Source organism: Homo sapiens, chromosome 5 (genome assembly GCF_000001405.40).
Source record: "Homo sapiens chromosome 5, GRCh38.p14 Primary Assembly".
Lineage (NCBI taxonomy): Eukaryota > Metazoa > Chordata > Mammalia > Primates > Hominidae > Homo > Homo sapiens.
In genome coordinates this window covers 116,241,953-116,262,190 of record NC_000005.10, presented here as the reverse complement: position 1 = coordinate 116,262,190, position 20,238 = coordinate 116,241,953, and the positions used below count along the sequence as shown (strand labels likewise).

Sequence of the window (20,238 nt, the reverse complement as noted above, 5' to 3'; positions counted from 1 at the left end):
GAAAAAGATGAGAGGAGACACTCATCAGAATAGTATAGCATCTAAAGAGGAAAAGTACCAGCTCTTTAGTCAGACTGCCTGTGTCTGAATCCTGATTCTACCACTTATTAGTGTGGCCTCAAACAAAGTAATTAACCTCTCTGTGCCTTACCTTCTTTATCTGAAAGTGGAAAAAATAATACAAACTTAGATCTCTAAGGATTGTGTTAAAGATCATATGACATGTAAAGTGCTTAGAATAGTCAAAGATACAAAGTAAGTGCTCAAGAAAAATTAGCTAATTATTATTATAAAACTAAAGGGAAAAAATATTTCTGAAACCGAAACAGTTAAGAATGGCTGGCCAGTGGAACCAAAGGTTGAAGAGAGATCCAGAGACAGAGAACAGAGACAGGAGCACTGAACCCACTGGTAACATTTCAAAAAGAACAGTTTAAGTTGATAAGTGAAGATACAAGTTAGACCACTAAAAGTTATTCTGGTTGTTGATAGGAATGAGGAAGCCAGAAATCTGTACATATGCAAAAATATGCAAAATAAGGACAACAAAATGGATAAAAAGAAAGAAGAGGCAGGAGTCAAGTGTTTTGGTCAATAATAACCAGAAAGATGTCAAGTAAGTGCACTGAAATAAAAATTTCTAGTCATGGTAACATGTTTTTAGAAGTCCCCAGCTGCAGGCTGCACTGACCAATTTGATAAAAGAGTTTTACTAAGTTATGAGAAGAATACACATCTACATTACTCCTAGCCTTACCAAAAAATAAAATAAGGAGGACGACCACCACCTGGAACAAGAAAATCCTCCAAATACCCATAAAACTCAGTCATTACGCTAGGCAAGATTAGGAAACCTTAAAAGCAAATAGCAACGGTCACATCTACAATTTTCATCTCCTTGACTACACCTATGATTTCTGATTGCATCCAGTTTTTCTGTTCAATATACAGTTATGAACATTATAATCAACTTCTTTTTAACCAAAACTAGTTATATTGGCAAATTAGGTAGTACTGAGAAATTTAATTAGTTATAGTTTTCTTCCTGAAATATGTTTTTACTCAGTTTTGGATGCAGGTGCACTTTTCAAAGAAAAGCAACAAATTTCCATAGGCTACTGATGTCTCTCAAGTAGGACTTGGCTTTACTAGAAAAAAGTAAAAGAGAAAAATAAAATCAAATTTGGCAAGTCTTCACAAGGCATACAAAACCAATCGCACAGATCTGTTAGTAATTTTCAACATTCACAAAGAGAACATGTTGCTTCACAACTTTTTTCTATTTTTGAATAATGACAAAGACACAATACTTACTCCACAAATAAACCCTATGTAAATATTTTCTTACTCTCTTTTAAACATCTATTAGCAAACTTTGTTTCAAAATACCATTATAAAAAATATGACAAATTCAAGCCTGGGGTCTAATCTTAAATTCAACTCATTTTCCAAAAATGTAATTAATTAAAATGAAGTTATAAACAAATCTCTGGCCATTTTAGAAGACCATTAATTTTCTTGTACAGATGAGCTACTGCTTTGCATGACCATTACTATAACACCTAATACTCTGTTTTTACTAAATCTTGCATAGAACAAGACAGTGAAGTCCTTTTGTGATCTCCATTAAAGTACATGAAGGTTTACTTCTTTAATATTGGTTAAGTTAGAATTTACAAGATACTGACATGCCATGGCACTTTTGAAAATAACATGCCTACTTTAAATGGGTCCACACTGAATATGTCAAAACAATCCATTTGCTACCATGAAATAAAAATATCACCTTAAGCAAGTTGTTCTTAAACAGGATGACTAACAATAAACATTACCCAAGAAATTTCTCCAAAGTCATTAGTTTCCACAGGGAAAAATAATAAATTGGTGACAGAGGCTAATGCTAAATAAATGTCCTTTCTAAATTCATTAAACATCAGCAATATTCAGCACATTTTCCTCCCTTCATAATATGTTGATAAGTCTCCATTGAAATGGTTTCATCATCTCTTAGTTCTCTTAATTTCAAAATCTGTATTTTTCCATTTTACTTTAAAAAAGAATGGATGGCCAATGAGGACACATTTACCTCTTTCCTTTCCCCTCAAATTCCATATAAAATATATTACTAAAAAGAAGAAAGAATGATAGTGCAGGAAAATAATACCACTGCAGACCAAAAATTTTGAAGAAGCTCTGTAAACAAACACAAATCAGAGGAGATGTGATTAGTTTAAAGGCAAAATCACATTGGAGAAACCTGCAGCTAAAACAAGAAAGTGTGAGTCTGCTATAGAGGCTCAGAGAAACTCAAAGCTCATGGTCAATAAATAACAAAAGCAGGAGTACATTCTCCCAAATGCAATTTCTGACTATGGAGAGTCCCAGATTAGAGAAACAGAACAAGGTAGCAGCCAATTTATGGAAATGTAGTCCGAAACCCAGGTGAAAAACTTCTACAACCGGGAATACCCTGCCCAGCCACACCCACTTCTTTTGCCCTGCAGTTATTGGATGAAGGCTTCTGTAATGAGAATCTACATAGTACAAGAAGTAAAAAGGGATTCTCATTTGGGCTGATGAAATAAATACCCTCCAGCCACCAAGACTGTTCAGCCTAGGCTCTCAACTATTCAACAAACAACAAACAACCAAAAATCACCAAACACTTGAGGAAAAATTAGCAAGAAAGTCACCAAACTTAACATATTGAAGAAATAACACTCAGCAGAGTAAAAGAAACAGAGGAAAACGTTAAATATAATTGTAATTCTCAGTGAGATTTGAAAAGATAGCACACAGACAAAAAAAAACAATTATGGAAAAGACTGCTACAAAATTAAAAACATGACTAACAAAATAATGACAATACAAAGCCTTAAAAAAGAAAATGAAAAATTAAAGGACCTTTAAGACCAGCCTGGCCAACATGGTGAGATCCTGTCTGTACTAAAAATACAAAAATTGGCCAGGCATGGTGGCGTGCACCTGTAATCCCAGGTACTCTGGAGGCTGAGGTGGGAGAATCACTTGAACCCAGGAAGCAGAGGTTGCAGTGAGCCAAGATTGCATCACTGCATCCCAGCCTGGGTGAGAAAGCGAGACTCTCAGGAAAAAAAAAAAAAAAAAAATTAAAGGACGTAGCTAAAGATAAAATTATTGAGATAGAAGACAAAGACAAAAGATTATTCAGAATCCCCTGCAAAATGAGGAAATATAAAGTAAGAGAAAAGGAGGATAGATCTAGAAGTTCTAGTAGCTACTGAAAAAAAGAATAAAACGGAACTGAGTAGAAAAAGCAATCACAGAAATGAAAGAAGAAAATTTCCCTTAGCTAAAGGTAGATTCGGGTTTCAGACAAAAGCAGAGGTGCAGGGAGAGGCAGATGAGGCAAAGCATTAATAATATGGCATCCTAGCGTAGTATCAAACCCCAAGGATAAAAATTCCAAAATCTTCCAAAGAGAAAGAAAGAGGACGAAGGGATGAAAAAGGGTCATCTACAGTGGTACAAAAATTATATTGATATCAGAAATCTTTTTAGCAATATCAGAAAAGTCAATAGAATAGTATTTTCAAAGATCTAAGATAAAATGACTTAAACATAGGACTCTATGTCAAGTCTAATCAGCAATCAAGTGAGAATAAATATACATTTTCAGTCATGCAAAAACAGGCTAGTTTAATACCTTCAGATACAATCTAAGAATTATTAAATGATCAACTCCAGTAAAACAAAAAAAAATCAATCCAGAGAAAAAAAGATGTGGTGGTGTCCAATAGTAGTGTCCAAAAAGTAGGAAGCTAAATTTAAATAATTATTTATGCATAATTTTAAAAGGAAATAATCTAAAATTAAAATACAAAAGCATTCTAGGATAGTAACAGGGAGGAAGAGAGTAAGTGTGCTACAGATCTTATCTAGGGGAGGAATAGATATACTACAAAATTCTAAGACATTGTTAGAAAAGAGTATTGAAATTCGGTAAGAGAAAAGGTTTTGGATGTATTCAAACTGTAATTTTTATTCTTTATACAAGTAGATGTCCATGAATGGAAAAGAAATCCAATTTATATGCCTTTAAATTCAATATGAATTTGCTTTTCTTCAAATATACTCATATTTGTAGATCTGTATTGATATGGAAACATCATTCACCATTATACCATTCCTGGAGCTGCTGAACCCTCTTTAAAACAAATTGGACAAAAATGATTATAGTTAGCCTTGAACATTCTATATCGCACAGAACCAAATAATGAAATTGGGTATACAAAACTGTGATTCAAAAAGCTTAAGTATTAATTCTTGGAAAATTACTTCTCCCAAAATTCAGATGACCACAAAATCTTTACCTTGTAGGCACATTATACAAAGTGGTCCACATATAAGAATCTTAAAATTTTCTGTTGCTTATGTTTCAATTAAAATTCATCTGAACCCACCATAATATTCCTTTTATTTGATATATTATTTCTTTCTGAAAAATTAACCTAATTTTGAAAAGAGCTGATCGCCTTAAATGTCTTTACAAAAAAGAACATGAAGTTTAAAACTAGTACCATGATTTCAGGTAAAGGGCCCCCTGCTAAGAAAAATTCTAAGGGTCTAAATGAGCCTTCCATTTACTGTGTACTCCTATGTACTTATTAATAGCAAACCAACTGTCAAAAGCTGTTTTGTCTTATTGTTTTGCTAAAATGCCCTCCTATGCATTTTCCTTTCATAAATTTCATATGAAAATTAAATATTTCTTTATCGTGGAACATCTGGAACTGGTTAGTACAGAAGCTGAAAATACTGTTAGGAGAAAAACAGAAGCAGCCCATCTTTTACTCAGTAGACAACAAGTTATATATTTAAAATCTCTATAAAGGCCCTTTGTAAAGGTTGTGCATCCCTAATCTGAAAATCTGAAATCTGAAATGCTCCAACATCTGAAAGTTTTTGAGCACTGACATGACACTACAAGTAGAAAATTCCGTAAGTGGCCTTATGTGATGGGTTGCTGTCAAAATGCAGGAACACAGGACATAGTTTATTCAGAAGGTCTCCTCATCCCTAGAGGACCCATTTCTTGATCTCTCAAATGTTTCCAATATTTCTTCTTACCTAAAAAAAATAAAATACAGAGTAGAGTAACCTTTTAACAAAAACAGCACTGTAGGTAAAGTATGAAAGCCTGCCATTGTTTGATGCTATTATGCTGCTTAGTTACTCTGAACTCATTTTTTTCACTGTTAAGTACATATGTGTGAGTAAGTCTAATAAAAGAGTTGTTTATCAGTAGCATACAAATTCAGAGTCAGGAATGACAGTGATGCCAAACACCACAGAGTATCCACGTGGCTGGCTGAGACAGGGATACCTTTGCTTTCTGATGATTCAATGTATGCAAACTTTGTTTAATGCACAAAATTATTCAAAATATTACATTAAATTACCTTCAACCTATATGTTTATGATATACATAAAAAATAAATGAATTCACGTTAAGACTTGGGTCCCATCCCAACATATCTCATTACGTGTATGAAAACATTACAAAATATGAAAAAATCCAAAATCTGAAACATTTCTGGTTCCAACCATTTTGGATAAGGAATACTCAACCTGTATACTGTTTCAAATGCCAAAGACGGAGATGAGAAAAATGCCCATCCTTGATTTCTTTAAACATAAATCCAAGAACCATTAATCAAGATTCTTCAGATCTTAACTGTCACGTACATGCAAAGGGAAAGGTAATTTCTACAGCACCCAAAATACAAGGAGTTACAGTCTATTATAGTTAAAACTAACATCTAAATTATACTTCACTATAATCATGTCAAAGCTACCGACTGTCAGACACAGAAAAATAATATTCTTCATATACTCAACAACCCCAAAAGGAACAGAAGTTCGATACTGCCATTTGAAGTTTCCACTAGTCTTCAAGATCTGTCCGAACGGTGATTCAAAATCATTTTGGACAAAACATGGTTAACTCTCATTATACTGTAGATTCTTTTCTTCTTCTTAGATAACCACTCAGAAGCCAGGTACAGCATTTTAATAAAGTAAAATATTACAGACTTATCACCCGTGGGATATTTTTCAAATGCTTTTGGAACTTTTTATAGAAGGTAATTTCAGTCATGCATATTTGCGCTACTTTATTTAGCTGAGATTGAATACGAAAATAGCTCAATATGCATATCCATGAAATTTAAGGAAATGAGAAAAATTAAGAGTGGATCTAACTGCAACGTTTCTGAACACTACATTCAATTCCCACTACTAAATGGCTTAAAAATAAGAATTATGTTCTTCTCTTCTACTTAATGAGACTAACATTTCTTAATGTTTTAATAAAATACTCTTTATGGCTTACAGGCAAAAAAGGTACAACCCGAAAAAGTAAGCACTCATGGGTTGTATCTTTTTTGCCTGTAAGATATAAAGAATAAGTAACTGAATACATATATATTCAGTTAGCATTTACGTACACTATTAAATAACAGTGTTAGCTTATGCTATTATTAAATTCAAACTAAAATGATAAAATGTAAACACTAATTGTTCCTAAATTATATCCCATCAACATATTAGCAAATGTCTTCAGAGGTAAAAGTAGTTTCTGCAGACTCCTAAGACTCAACTACTTCTCTTGAAAATAGAGTCTGCTCAAGCAAATGCTGAGAGATTTTGTCACCACCAGGCCTGCCCTAAAAGAGCTCCTGAAGGAAGCACTAAACACGGAAAGGAACAACCAGTACCAGCCGCTGCAAAATCATGCCAAAATGTAACGACCATCAAGACTAGGAAGAAACTGCATCAACTAACGAGCAAAATAACCAGCTAACATCATAATGACAGGATCAAATTCACACATAACACTATTAACTTTAAATGTAAATGGACTAAATGCTCCAACTAAAAGACACAGACTGGCAAATTGGATAAAGAGTCAAGACCCATCAGTGTGCTGTGTTCAGGAAACCCATCTCACGGGCAGAGACACACATAGGCTCAAAATAAAAGGATGGAGGAAGATCTACCAAGCAAATGGAAAACAAAAAAAGGCAGGGGTTGCAATCCTAGTCTTGGATAAAACAGACTTTAAACCAACAAAGATCAAAAGAGACAAAGAAGGCCATTACATCCTGCTAAAGGGATCAATTCAACAAGAAGAGCTAACTATCCTAAATATATATGCACCCAATACAGGAGCACCAAGATTCATAAAGCAAGTCCTGAGTGACCTACAAAGAGACTTAGACTCCCACACATTAATAATGGGAGACTTTAACACCCCACTGTCAATATTAGACAGATCAACGAGACAGAAAGTCAACAAGGATACCCAGGAATTGAACTCAGCTCTGCACCAAGCGGACCTAATAGACATCTACAGAACTCTCCACCCCAAATCAACAGAATATACATTTTTGTCAGCACCACACCACACCTATTCCAAAACTGACCACATACTTGGAAGTAAAGATCTCCTCAGCAAATGTAAAAGATCAGAAATTATAACAAACTATCTCTCAGACCACAGTGCAATCAAACTAGAACTCAGGATTAAGAATCTCACTCAAAACCACTCAACTACATGGAAACTGAACCACCTGCTCCTGAATGACTACTGGGTACATAACGAAATGAAGGCAGAAATAAAGATGTTCTTTGAAACCAACAAGAACAAAGACACAACATACCAGAATCTCTGGGACGCATTCAAAGCAGTGTGTAGAGGGAAATTTATAGCACTAAATGCCCACAAGAGAAAGCAGGAAAGATCCAAAATTAACACCCTAACATCACAATTAAAAGAACTAGAAAAGCAAGGGCAAACACATTCAAAAGCTAGCAGAAGGCAAGAAATAACTAAGATCAGAGCAGAACTGAAGGAAATACAGACACAAAAAAACCTTCAAAAAATTAATGAATCCAGGAACTGGTTTTTTGAAAGGATCAACAAAATTGATAGACCGCTAGCAAGAATGATAAAGAAAAAAAGAGAGAAGAATCAAATAGACGCAATAAAAAATGATAAAGGGGATATCACCACCGATCCCACAGAAATACAAACTACCATCAGAGAATACTACAAACACCTCTATGCAAATAAACTAGAAAATCTAGAAGAAATGGATAAAGTCCTTGACACATATACTCTCCCAAGAATAAACCAGGAAGAAGTTCAATCTCTGAAAAGACCAATAACAGGATCTGAAATTGTGGCAATAATCAATAGCTTACCAACCAAGAAGAGTCCAGGACCAGATGGATTCACAGCCGAATTCTACCAGAGGTACAAGGAGGAACTAGTACCATTCCTTCTGAAACTATTCCAATCAATAGAAAAAGAGGGAATCCTCCCTAACTCATTTTATGAGGCCAGCATCATTCTGATACCAAAGCCGGGCAAAGACACAACCAAAAAAGAGAATTTTAGACCAATATCCTTGATGAACATTGATGCAAAAATCCTCAATAAAATACTGGCAAACCAAATCCAGCAGCACATCAAAAAGCTTATCCACCATGATCAAGTGGGCTTCATCCCTGGGATGCAAGGCTGGTTCAATATACACAAATCAATAAATGTAATCCAGCATATAAACAGAGCCAAAGACAAAAACCACATGATTATCTCAACAGATGCAGAAAAGGCCTTTGACAAAATTCAACAACGCTTCATGCTAAAAACTCTCAATAAATTAGGTATTGATGGGACATATTTCAAAATAATAAGAGCTATCTATGACAAATCCACAGCCAATATCATACTGAATGGGCAAAAACTGGAAGCTTTCACTTTGAACACTAGCACAAGACAGGGATGCCCTCTCTCACCACTCCTATTCAACATAGTGTTGGAAGTTCTGGCCAGGGCAATTAGGCAGGAGAAGGAAATAAAGGGTATTCAATTAGGAAAAGAGGAAGTCAAATTGTCCCTGTTTGCAGATGACATGATTGTATATCTAGAAAACCCCATTGTCTCAGCCCAAAATCTCCTTAAGCTGATAAGCAACTTCAGCAAAGTCTCAGGATACAAAATCAATGTACAAAAATCACAAGCATTCTTATACACCAATAACAGACAGAGAGCCAAATCATGAGTGAACTCCCATTCACAATTGCTTCAAAGAGAATAAAATACCTAGGAATCCAACTTACAAGGGATGTGAAGGACCTCTTCAAGGAGAACTACAAACCACTGCTCAACGAAATAAAAGAGGATACAAACAAATGGAAGAACATTCCATGCTCATGGGTAGGAAGAATCAATATCATGAAAATGGCCATACTGCCCAAGGTAATTTACAGATTCAATGCCATCCCCATCAAGCTACCAATGCCTTTCTTCACAGAATTGGAAAAAACTACTTTAAAGTTCATATGGAACCAAAAAAGAGCCCGCATCGCCAAGTCAATCCTAAGCCAAAAGGACAAAGCTGGAGGCATCACACTACCTGACTTCAAACTATACTACAAGGCTACAGTAACCAAAACAGCATGGTACTGGTACCAAAACAGAGATATAGATCAATGGAACAGAACAGAGCCCTCAGAAATAATGCCACATAGCTACAACTATCTGATCTTTGACAAACCTGAGAAAAACAAGCAATGGGGAAAGGATTCCCTATTTAATAAATGGTGCTGGGAAAACTGGCTAGCCATATGTAGAAAGCTGAAACTGGATCCCTTCCTTACACCTTATACAAAAATCAATTCAAGATGGATTCAGGACTTAAATGTTAGACCTAAAACCATAAAAACCCTAGAAGAAAACCTAGGCAATACCATTCAGGACATAGGCACAGGCAAGGACTTCATGTCTAAAACACCAAAAGCAATGGCAACAAAAGCCAAAATTGACAAATGGGATCTAATTAAACTAAAGAGCTTCTGCACAGCAAAAGAAACTACCATCAGAGTGAACAGGCAGCCTACAAAATGGGAGAAAATTTTCGCAACCTACTCATCTGACAAAGGGCTAATATCCAGAATCTACAATGAACTCAAACAAATTTACAAGAAAAAAACAAACAACCCCATCAAAAAGTGGGCAAAGGACATGAACAGACACTTCTCAAAAGAAGACATTTATGCAGCCAAAACACACATGAAAAAATGCTCACCATCACTGGCCATCAGACAAATGCAAATCAAAACCACAATGAGATTTGCCACCTTCTCACACCACTTAGAATGGCAATCATTAAAAAGTCAGGAAACAACAGGTGCTGGAGAGGATGTGGAGAAATAGGAACACTTTTACATTGTTGGTGGGACTGTCAACTAGTTCAACCCTTGTGGAAGTCAGTGTGGCGAATCCTCAGGGATCTAGAACTAGAAATACCATGTGATCCAGCCATCCCATTACTGGGTATATACCCAAGGGACTATAAATCATGCTGCTATAAAGACACATGCACACGTATGTTTATTGTGGCATTATTCACAATAGCAAAGACTTGGAACCAACCCAAATGTCCATCAATGATAGACTGGATTAAGAAAATGTGGCACATATACACCATGGAATACTATGCAGCCATAAAAAATGATGAGTTCATGTCCTTTGTAGGGACATGGATGAAATTGGAAATCATCATTCTCAGTAAACTATCGCAAGAACAAAAAAACCAAACACCGCATATTCTCACTCATAGGTGGGAATTGAACAATGAGATCACATGGACACAAGAAGGGGAACATCACACTCTGGGGACTGTTGTGTGGTGGGGGGAAGGGGGAGGGATAGCATTGGGAGATATACCTAATGCTAGATGACGAGTTAGTGGGTGCAGCACACCAGCATGGCACATGTATACGTATGTAACTAACCTGCACAATGTGCACATGTACCCTAAAACTTAAAGTATAATAATAAATAAATAAATAAATAAATAAATAAATAAATAAAAAGAAAAGAGTCTGCTTTAATTTTTGAAAAATCTGTGTAATGGGGAACAAATACTTAATGAACAATAAACTGAAGGTAAGAACATAATGGAAAAATCAAGCATTTGAAATGACAGCTTCAGAAAACAATGAACAAGCATAATAATAAAAACAGGTTGCACCTATCTTCTTGCCTACTTGGTAGCATTAACTAGGAGCTCTGTGCACATGGGTAGCTTTGGATACGGGCAAGCTTCACTTTAGGCAGGAATTTCACTTAAGGCAGGAACTGGTAGGAAAACTGCACCCCCCAACCCAAGCCAGAATAATGTAGGCTTAGTAGTGGCATGCCAAGAGGCACAACAGAAACGTCACCCTTTCCCATATGGTTCATTGCTCAGAAGAACTGAAATCAGACTGGTTTCTAATCTGGGTTGTAAAAGTGAAGTAGGTGAGCCAATTGTCCCAGTTGCAGATATGGTCCTTTAATTGAGTCTCCTGTTTTGAGCTCTGTATCTTCATCCTTGCAGATTCTCAGAAGAGAGACTCTCCAAGGTTCAGGCAGGCTGATCAGTTCCCTCCCATCTCCTCCTCTGCACTGCTTGTTCCATCAGTTAGCTCATTCCCATTTTTCCTTCTCCTAGTAATTTCTTGAAAACATACCAAGTGCTAGTAAGTCTCTCTGATTTTCTTTGCTGCATGGATCTATTCCTTTATGTATATGCCTCTATGAGGTGAGGTGTCAGGAAGGATAAGAAGTCATCATGTATGCTCAGCCCTCCATCTTCAATCAAATAGAATTTTTTTTCCTTTTTAGCCAAACTACTTCCATCTAGTATCTCCAATTATGTATAAAAATCTTGTCTCTGTAAACCCATAGAACAGCTACCCTTTCTAAGAACTAAACAAATAAAAACGCCACAGCATTTCAATATAAATTGTTCATATTCATATGAATTGAAAATTATACCTGAAAGATAACACGTTATTATTACTATACCAAATGCATATTAAGAAAACCAATCCATCTAGTGAATCTCAAAAATATTCAGTTTCTGTTTCAGGTTCAAAAGTCTCCTTACAAACTAAAAGATAAAAAATGTAATTTTTTCCAGGTATCACAGCGATTGAATTAGCTCCAAGATAATGAAAACTAGATGTTTGAAAGTAAAAAGTCAGATTTCTTTCAAAACAGAGAATGAACAGAAAAGATCAACTATGGTAATACATGGAAGTTTGAGGGAATATAAATTATCATTATTCATAAAATGAAATTTGAAAAATATAACAATATAAAACTTGAACAATCTGGAAACATATTAACTTTATGATAAACATACCACTAAACAAATATAATTGTTAAGTGACTTATGTGAATCATAGACAATTAAATCATTATGTTGACTTTATTACTTTACTGTCATTGTTGATTCATTTCATAAAATCAGATGTGGACCTAATCTCTTGCCAAGAATTCCCCCCAAAACACAAATATAACAAGAAGCATAAGCCATATAAAGGCAACTTAAAATCTGTACTACATTACACACTCTATTTTTAAGATTTTAATTGGCTATAGTAAGAGAAAACCATTTTATAAACTACAATATAGTTTATTTGATATAAACCCATTGACCATCACAGTCGTGCCAGCATTATCTTTCAGAATTCAAATGTTTGTAACCCATAAGGTGTAGATGTGAATATGAGGGAATTTACCTTGACTTGTCTCTTCTCATTTTTGAATTCTCTAGTCAATTTCAAATTCTCAATACTTTATTAATACTTTAGTACTTTATTACCATTGCTTATATAAGAATTCTTTTTTATTTAATATCAAAGTAACTTCAAAATCATTGTGATGCAACCAATATGATTAATTAAAATCTTTCATTGAAACAAATGAGCTCTACGAAACTGGATTTTGTGGTTTGCCATGGCCAGGCCATTTGATTTATCCAGATATCCAACAGATGAAAGATTCGAATACTTATCTACAATAATCACTGAAATAATGTTTGAGGGCATACCTCAATCCTGTCATAAAACAAAATTAAAGAATATTTCAATGAAAAGTAAATACTTCTTTGCAATTATTTGTTATCTGAAATAGCCCCAACCATAGCAGTCCCAAATATACCAAGGTAATAAGAATTTATGATGAAAAATATGACTTTAAAGGAAGAATATGAATGGTAACCATGCTCTGATGTGAATATATTTTTCTTTCACTAAAAACAATAAAAATTGCTAAAGACAATATCATTAACATTTAACACAGCTTAAAAGTATAATAATGGGCACAGTACCATTTACTGTTACTTATTATTACTTGATTTTAGAAATCTCCAAACAAGATGTTCAAACAAGATGTCAGTAACTTAAATTTCTTTTGTTTCAAATAATATGCATGGTGAGAAATTGCTTTTTTGTTTTTTTCTGTCTCTGGTCTTCCATTTCAATTTTGTCAGTATATTTCCGGATCCAAGAGATAGCAACATACATGAGTTGCTTCACATGACACATTTTGTTTTTATTTTAGTGTTGTTTTTAAAGTTGGTAGAAAAGGAAAACAAGAGTATTTGCACAGCCAGGCCACAGTAACTCAACTTTGTCTCTAACAGAACCAACAGAGACCTGTATGAATAACTGCTATACAGAAGGCCACTCCCAGAAATTGTGCAAGTCTTTAGACCAGGACAAATGTATTAAAACAAAACAAAACCAAATTACAACAAAAACAGAACTGTACAGGCTATTTTGATACCTAACTAGGGTCTCGCACACCTGGCATAGATCAGCACTAAGGGCTTTACTCTCTCCTATCTTCCTTTACCTTTCCGGAGTCTTTGTTGTAAATAACCTTAATTCTTTTTCTGTCAAACAGGTTACCTGCTTTACAAATGCCTAACTCTTAATATTATACTTTTTCTAATTATCCCTCACAGGGCTGCCTTGTAGTTCCATCTGTATCCATCTGTATCTGAAACTTTCAATGCTGTCCAAAAGCTACACTTAAGTCAATTTATGCACTCCTAAATTGTAATTAAGAGAAATTCAAGGTCATAGAAGGATGACTGTTTAATAAATATTCTGATGTGAGCACATGCTGGTATAGAGCTTAAAGAAAAATGCTCAGTTATTTTTTTTTTTTTGGCTTAGCACAATATTTTCTACTCACAGCAGTAAAAGTGGTATTCTTGGTCAGTGAATATGATTCTTTTGTTTGCTTAGGTCTTGAAATTTCTGTCAGTAATTCTTTGTACAACTTTTATTAAATTTGTAGGTATTGCATAAAATTTTGATATTGTGTTATCTTTTTAACTTTTAAGTTCAGGGGTACATGTGCATATTTGCTACATAGGTAAACTTGTGTCATGGGGATCTGTTGTACAGATTATTTCATCAACCAGATATTAAGCCTAGTATCCATTAGTTATTTTTCCTGATCCTTTCCTTCCTCCCACCTTCACCCTCCAATAGACCCCAGAGTTTGTGTTGTTCCCCTGTATGTATCCATGTGTTCTCATCATTTAGCTCCCACTTATAAGGGAGAACATGTGGTTGTTGCTTTCTGTTCCTGCATTAATTTGCTAAGGATAATGGCCTCCAGCTCCATCCATGTCCCTGCAAAGGATATGATCTCGTTCTTTTTTATGGCTGCATAGTATTCCATGGTGTGTATGTACCACATTTTCTTTATCCAGTGACAGGCGTTTAGCTTGATTCCCTGTCTTTGCTGTTGTGAATAGTGCTGCAATGAACATACGTATGTGTCTTTATAATAAAATGGTTTATTAATATATTCCTTTGGGTATATACCCAGCAATGAGATTGCTGGCTTGAATGGTATTTCTGCTGTTAGGTCTTCAAGGAATCACCACGCTGTCTTCCACAATGGTTCAAGCAATTTACACTGCCACCAACAGTGTATAAGTGTTCTCTTTTCTCCACAACCTCACCAACATCTGTTATTTTTTGACTTTTTAATAATAACCTTTCTGACTGAGATGGGTATCTCATTGTGGTTCTGATTTGCATTTCTCTAATAATCAGTGATGTTGAGCTTTTTTTCATATGACTGTTGACCATATGTATATCTTCTTTTGAAAAGTATCTGTTTATATCCTTTGCCCAGTTTTTAATGAGGTTGTTTTGTTTTTTTCTTTGGAAATTTAAGTTCCGTATAGATACTAGATATTAGACCTTTGTTGGATGCAAAGTTTGCAAAGATTTTCTCCCATTCTTTAGGTTCTCTGTTTACTCTGTTGATAGCTTCTTTTGCTGTACTGAAGCTCTTTAATCAGATCGCATTTATCAATTTTTGCTTTTGTTGCAATCGCTTTCGGTGTCTTCATCATGAAATCTTTGCCCGTGCCATTGTCCTGCATGGTATTGCCTAGGTTGTCTTCCAGGGGTTTTATACTTTTGTGCTTTACATTACAGTCTTTAATCCATTTTTGTTTATGGTGTAAGGAAACGGTCCAGTTTCAACCTTCTGCATACGGCTAGCCAATTATCCCAACACTATTTATTTAATAGGAATCCTTTCCCCATTGCTTGCTTTTGTCAGGTTTGTTGAACATCAGATAGTTGTAGGTATATGGCCTTATATCTGGGTTCTCTATTCTGTTCCATTAGGCTATGTGTCTTTTTTTGTACTAATACCATGCTGTTTTGATTATTGTAGCCCTGTAATATAGTTTGAAGTCAAGTAATGGGATACCTCCAGCTTTGCTCTTTTTGCTTAAAATTGCTTTGGCTATTCAGTCTCTTTTTTGGTTCCAGATGAACTTTAAGATAGTTTTTTTTTTTTCCTAGTTCTACAAAGAATCTCAATGGAGGTTTAATAGGAATAGCACTGAATCTATAAATTGCTTTGGGAAGTATGGCCATTTTTAATGACATTGATTCTTCTTGTTCATGAGCATGAAATGTTTTTCCATTTGTGTCACTTCTGATTTCTTTAAGCAGTGTTTTGTAGTTTTTCTTGTAGAGATATTTTGCTTCCCTAGTTAGCTGTATTCTTAGGTATTTTATTCTTTTTGTGGCCATTGTGAATGGGAGTATGTTCCTCATTTGGCTCTTGGATTGACTGCTGTTGATGTATAGGAATCCTAGCGATTTTTGCACACTCATGTTGTATTCTGAGACTCTGCTGAAGTTGTTTATCAGCTTAAGAAGCTTTTGGCTGAGACTATGTGGTTTTCTAGAAATTGGATCATTTCATCTGCAAACAGGGATAGTCTGACTTCCTCTCTTCCTATTTGGATGCCCTTTATTTCTTTCTCTGGCCTATTTGCCCTGGCCAGTACTTCCAATACTATGTTGAATAGGAGTGGTGAGAGAGGGCATCCTTGTTTTGTGCCAATTTTTAAGGGGAATGCTTCCAGCTTTTGCTCATTCAGTATGATGTTGGCTGTGGGTTTGTCATAGAAGACTCTCATTTTGAAGTATGTTCCTTCAATACCTAGTTTGCTATGAGTTTTAAACACGAAGGTATGAATTGTATCAAATGCCTTTTCTGCATCTATTGAGATAATCATGTGGTTTTTGTCTTTAGCTCTGCTTATGTGATGAATGACATTTATTGATTTGCATATGTTGAACCGACCTTGCAGCCCAGGGATAAAGCCTACTTGATGGGGGTGGGTAAGCTTTTTGATGTGCCGCTGGATTTATTTTGCCAGTATTTTGTTGAGGACTTTTGTATCAATGTCCACCAAGCATAGTGACCTGAGGTTTTCTTTTTTTGTTTTATCTCTGCCAGGTTTTGGTATCAGGGTGATGCTAGCCTCACAGGATGAGTTAGGGAGGAGTTGCTCATCAACTTTTGAAATAGTTTCAGTAGAAATGGTACCAGCTCTTCTTCATACATCTGGGAGAATTCAGATGTGAATACGTCTGGTCCTGGACATTATTGGTTGGTAAGCTATTTATTACTGTCTCAATTTCCAAGCTTGATATTGTCTGTTTAGAGATCCAGTTTCTTCCTGGTTCACTCTTGGGAGGGTAGCTGTGTTGAGGAATTTATCCATTGCTTCTAGATGTTCTAGTTTATGTGCACGGAAGTATTCATAATATCCTCCGATGGTTATATTTCTGTGGGGTCAGTTGCAATCGCCCCTTATCATTTCTGATTGTGTTTATTTGAATATTTTGTGTTTATATGAATATTCTCTTTTCTTCTTTATTAGTCTAGCTAGTGATCTATGTATTTTATTAATTTTTTTTTTCAAAAAACCAGCTCCTGGATTTATGTTTTGAATGATTTTTCTTATCTCAATCTCCTTCAATTCAGCTCTGATTTTGGTTATTTCTTGTCTACTGCTAGCTTTGGGATTTGTTTGCTCTTGGTTTCCTAGTTCTTTTAGTTGTGATGTTAAGTTGTAAGTTAACTTGAGATCTTTCTAACTTGTGATATGGGCATTCAGTGCTATACATTTCCCTCTTAATACTGCCTTAGTCGGATTCCATAGATTCCGGTATTTTGTATCTCTGTTCTCAGCAGTTTCAAGTAACTTCTTGATTTCTGCCTTAATTTCATTGTCTACCTAAAAATCATTCAGGAGAAGGTATTCAATTTTCATGTAATCATATGGCTGTTTTCTTTTTTTTTTTTTTTTTTGTAATTTTTTTTTTCCTTACTTGTTAAGTGGTAATGGTATAGTAGCATCTTAAAATACCTTACTTTTAAGATTCAGCCGGGGAAACTTCTCCTATTCTTTACCCCTCCTCAGATATTTCTCTACTGTACCCCCATAGCTCTTGAACATCTCATGACATATATCATTGTATTTTAATTTAATAAATTCATTTGTCTATTCACTAGACTGGCTTCTTTGCATTATAACCAGGACTTCACATAGATGTTGGTACCTCATAGATTTCTAATAAATACCTACTGAATTAAGGAAACATGAATTTATGTTCTACATAATGATGCTAGTGAAAATTTGTTACTGTGTTTATTTCTCACAAGGAATAAACATGGAGTGTATCCTGTAGTTGTGTCCAGTGGGAATCAATTACTGATACCTGGTGATGTAGACAAGTTGTTTTAAAAAAGAAAAAAAATGAAAGAAAGCAGTCTCTTCTTTTACCAGTCCCTACCTCAACCTATATTTTCTTTAAGAAAAAAGCTGTGATATCCATTTCTCTGTACTATCAACAGTTCTTGAAGTTGCCTTGAGAAGCACAGATTCCTTGAATCAGTCCAAATACATGATATATAGATATATAATATGTGTGTGTGTATAGACATCTTTAGTAGAAACAGCTTTTCAGATATTGATTTAACATTGTTTTCCTCCCGGCTTTCCATTGACTCAATGATTTCAGATAAAGTTTCAAATTGCATCTTAATTATGGGGAGTGGGGATAGTATTTAATCTCTGGCTCCTCTTTTTTAAGGTTATTTCTGAAACTGCCTTGATGTGGTTCAAGCCCAGAATAAATGCAGTTTACTGCCTATCACTCCATACTCTTAAGATGGTTTTGCCAGCTTTTAGTGCCTCTCAGATGTTCTGAAATAAGGTCAAGCTGATTCTACATACTACTGGTGGTAGGTGTTAGTGCTGTCACTTTGGCAAAATGTTTTTGACTTGAGATAGAATCATTAATCCAGGGATATCTTGTTAATAAATTTACTGAATACTCACTTCGACTTTCTGATGTAGCAGTTTTTAATACTACAGCTTTTTCATGTGAGCTAGTTTATTTTTGGCTGAACTATATTTTTATTTGTTTAAACACCAAGATACTTGGAGAATCATATTCTCCAAAGTCTCCATAGTGTGACAAATAGGAATTTGTATGTTTTATAATTTCTAACTGTTTTCCTCAAAGTCATTATTTCAGAAATTAAAACATGTAAATTTTCACTTCTGGGGTGATATTTTCTGGCAGTGGATGTAAGATACTCTCCTATTCAGTTTAAAAGAGTGAAATTTGAAGTTTCTGTTTTCCCTAATTAGGCTTTCCCTGAACATGTATGTAATGCAAATTGAGTCAGTCTGATCTTGGCTTTCTTGTAACTGTAGTCTGGTGGTCTTAAAAAGAACTGAAATCATACATAAGATGTTACATGGTACAGAATATAGTGTTTACAACTGTACTTTTCTATATTCATAGTGCAGTCAGCATTTAATTTTGAAATATGACAAGTTGTCTATTTGTTCCATGAGTAGTACTTCTTGGACATCACAATCACTTCAGGCTGTGCTCTTAATTCCTGTCCAGGGTATTATTTAATAAAGAAAAACAGGATCAAAGGAAACATTTTAAAAATAAACATTTTAATTAGCATTGAAAATTTAAGCACTTTCATTAATGTTTCCCCAGATGGAGTCCTTCAACTAAATCAAGATTTTATCTGCTTGTCAAGGTCCATCTCAAATGCATTTCTTTTTTGAAGCCTATCCAACGATTATTATTTACTTTTCTTATATTAGCTTAATACCACTTTTACCCCTTCATTCTAGTGAAGCATAATACTGTGAGATCAGGCATTTAATGCTACAGAACCCTCTCCCCTCTAAAATCTTACCTGAAAAGCTCAATATATTAAAACAATGAACAGGCAATTGCTCTGGCTGAAGCAGAAGTAGGAGGGCTGGAATCCTATATACCTCTTTCTGCACTCCCCTTTCATTCCCACTGGGTCAAAAGTACTTGTTAAGGACATAGTTCCAGAAACTGGCTGCTTTTCAAAATAATACAAGCTTTGGAAGCAGGCCACTAGCTACTGAACCTTGAGAAAAAACTCAATCTAAACCCCAGTTCTCTTTCCTGTAAGATGATGATAATAATAATGTCAAACCCTCAGGGTTGCTGAGAGGATTTCCTAAGATAACTGTTAAAATGACTTGCACGGTGCCTGGTATGTAACCATCTATAAACATGTGTTAAAGTGACTGAAATTCTCAAAAACCACATAGCTAATTAATGGCAGAGCCAAAACTAAAACCTGACAAAGGCAATTTGTCTACCATATCATCATACTAATAGGCAACAGATATGCATTTATATACCTTAACAAAACTTTCAAAACTGAAATGACTTTTTTTTCCTAAATCTTACTGTACAATTATCTGTTGTCTGTTATTAGATACGGTCAGAATCTTCATAATCATTGAGTCTCTCTGTGAAACCTACAGCAGCTATCGGCATTCACCTTCATAGCTGTTAGCTTCAGAGTTAAGGAATGTACATTAGAGTTACCTTAGGAGATAACTCAGGGTCCTATGACTCCAGGTGACATAGGTCTGCCTTTTTGTTTAATGTAAGACAGAAACTATTAAGGATTTTTTCACATGAGTTGAGGGATCCTCTGAG

At 35.0% G+C, this 20,238-nt stretch overlaps 1 protein-coding gene and 1 non-coding gene across 3 annotated transcripts in view; both read right to left on the bottom strand.

The window, feature by feature from the left end:
- COMMD10 (COMM domain containing 10) overlaps positions 1 to 20,238 on the bottom strand; it is a 208,263-nt gene that overhangs the window by 31,097 nt on the left and 156,928 nt on the right. The window lies entirely within an intron of this gene.
- MIR12130 (microRNA 12130) lies at positions 6,357 to 6,448 on the bottom strand. The gene has a single exon (NR_162144.1). It is a non-coding gene; the product is annotated as a microRNA 12130 (primary transcript).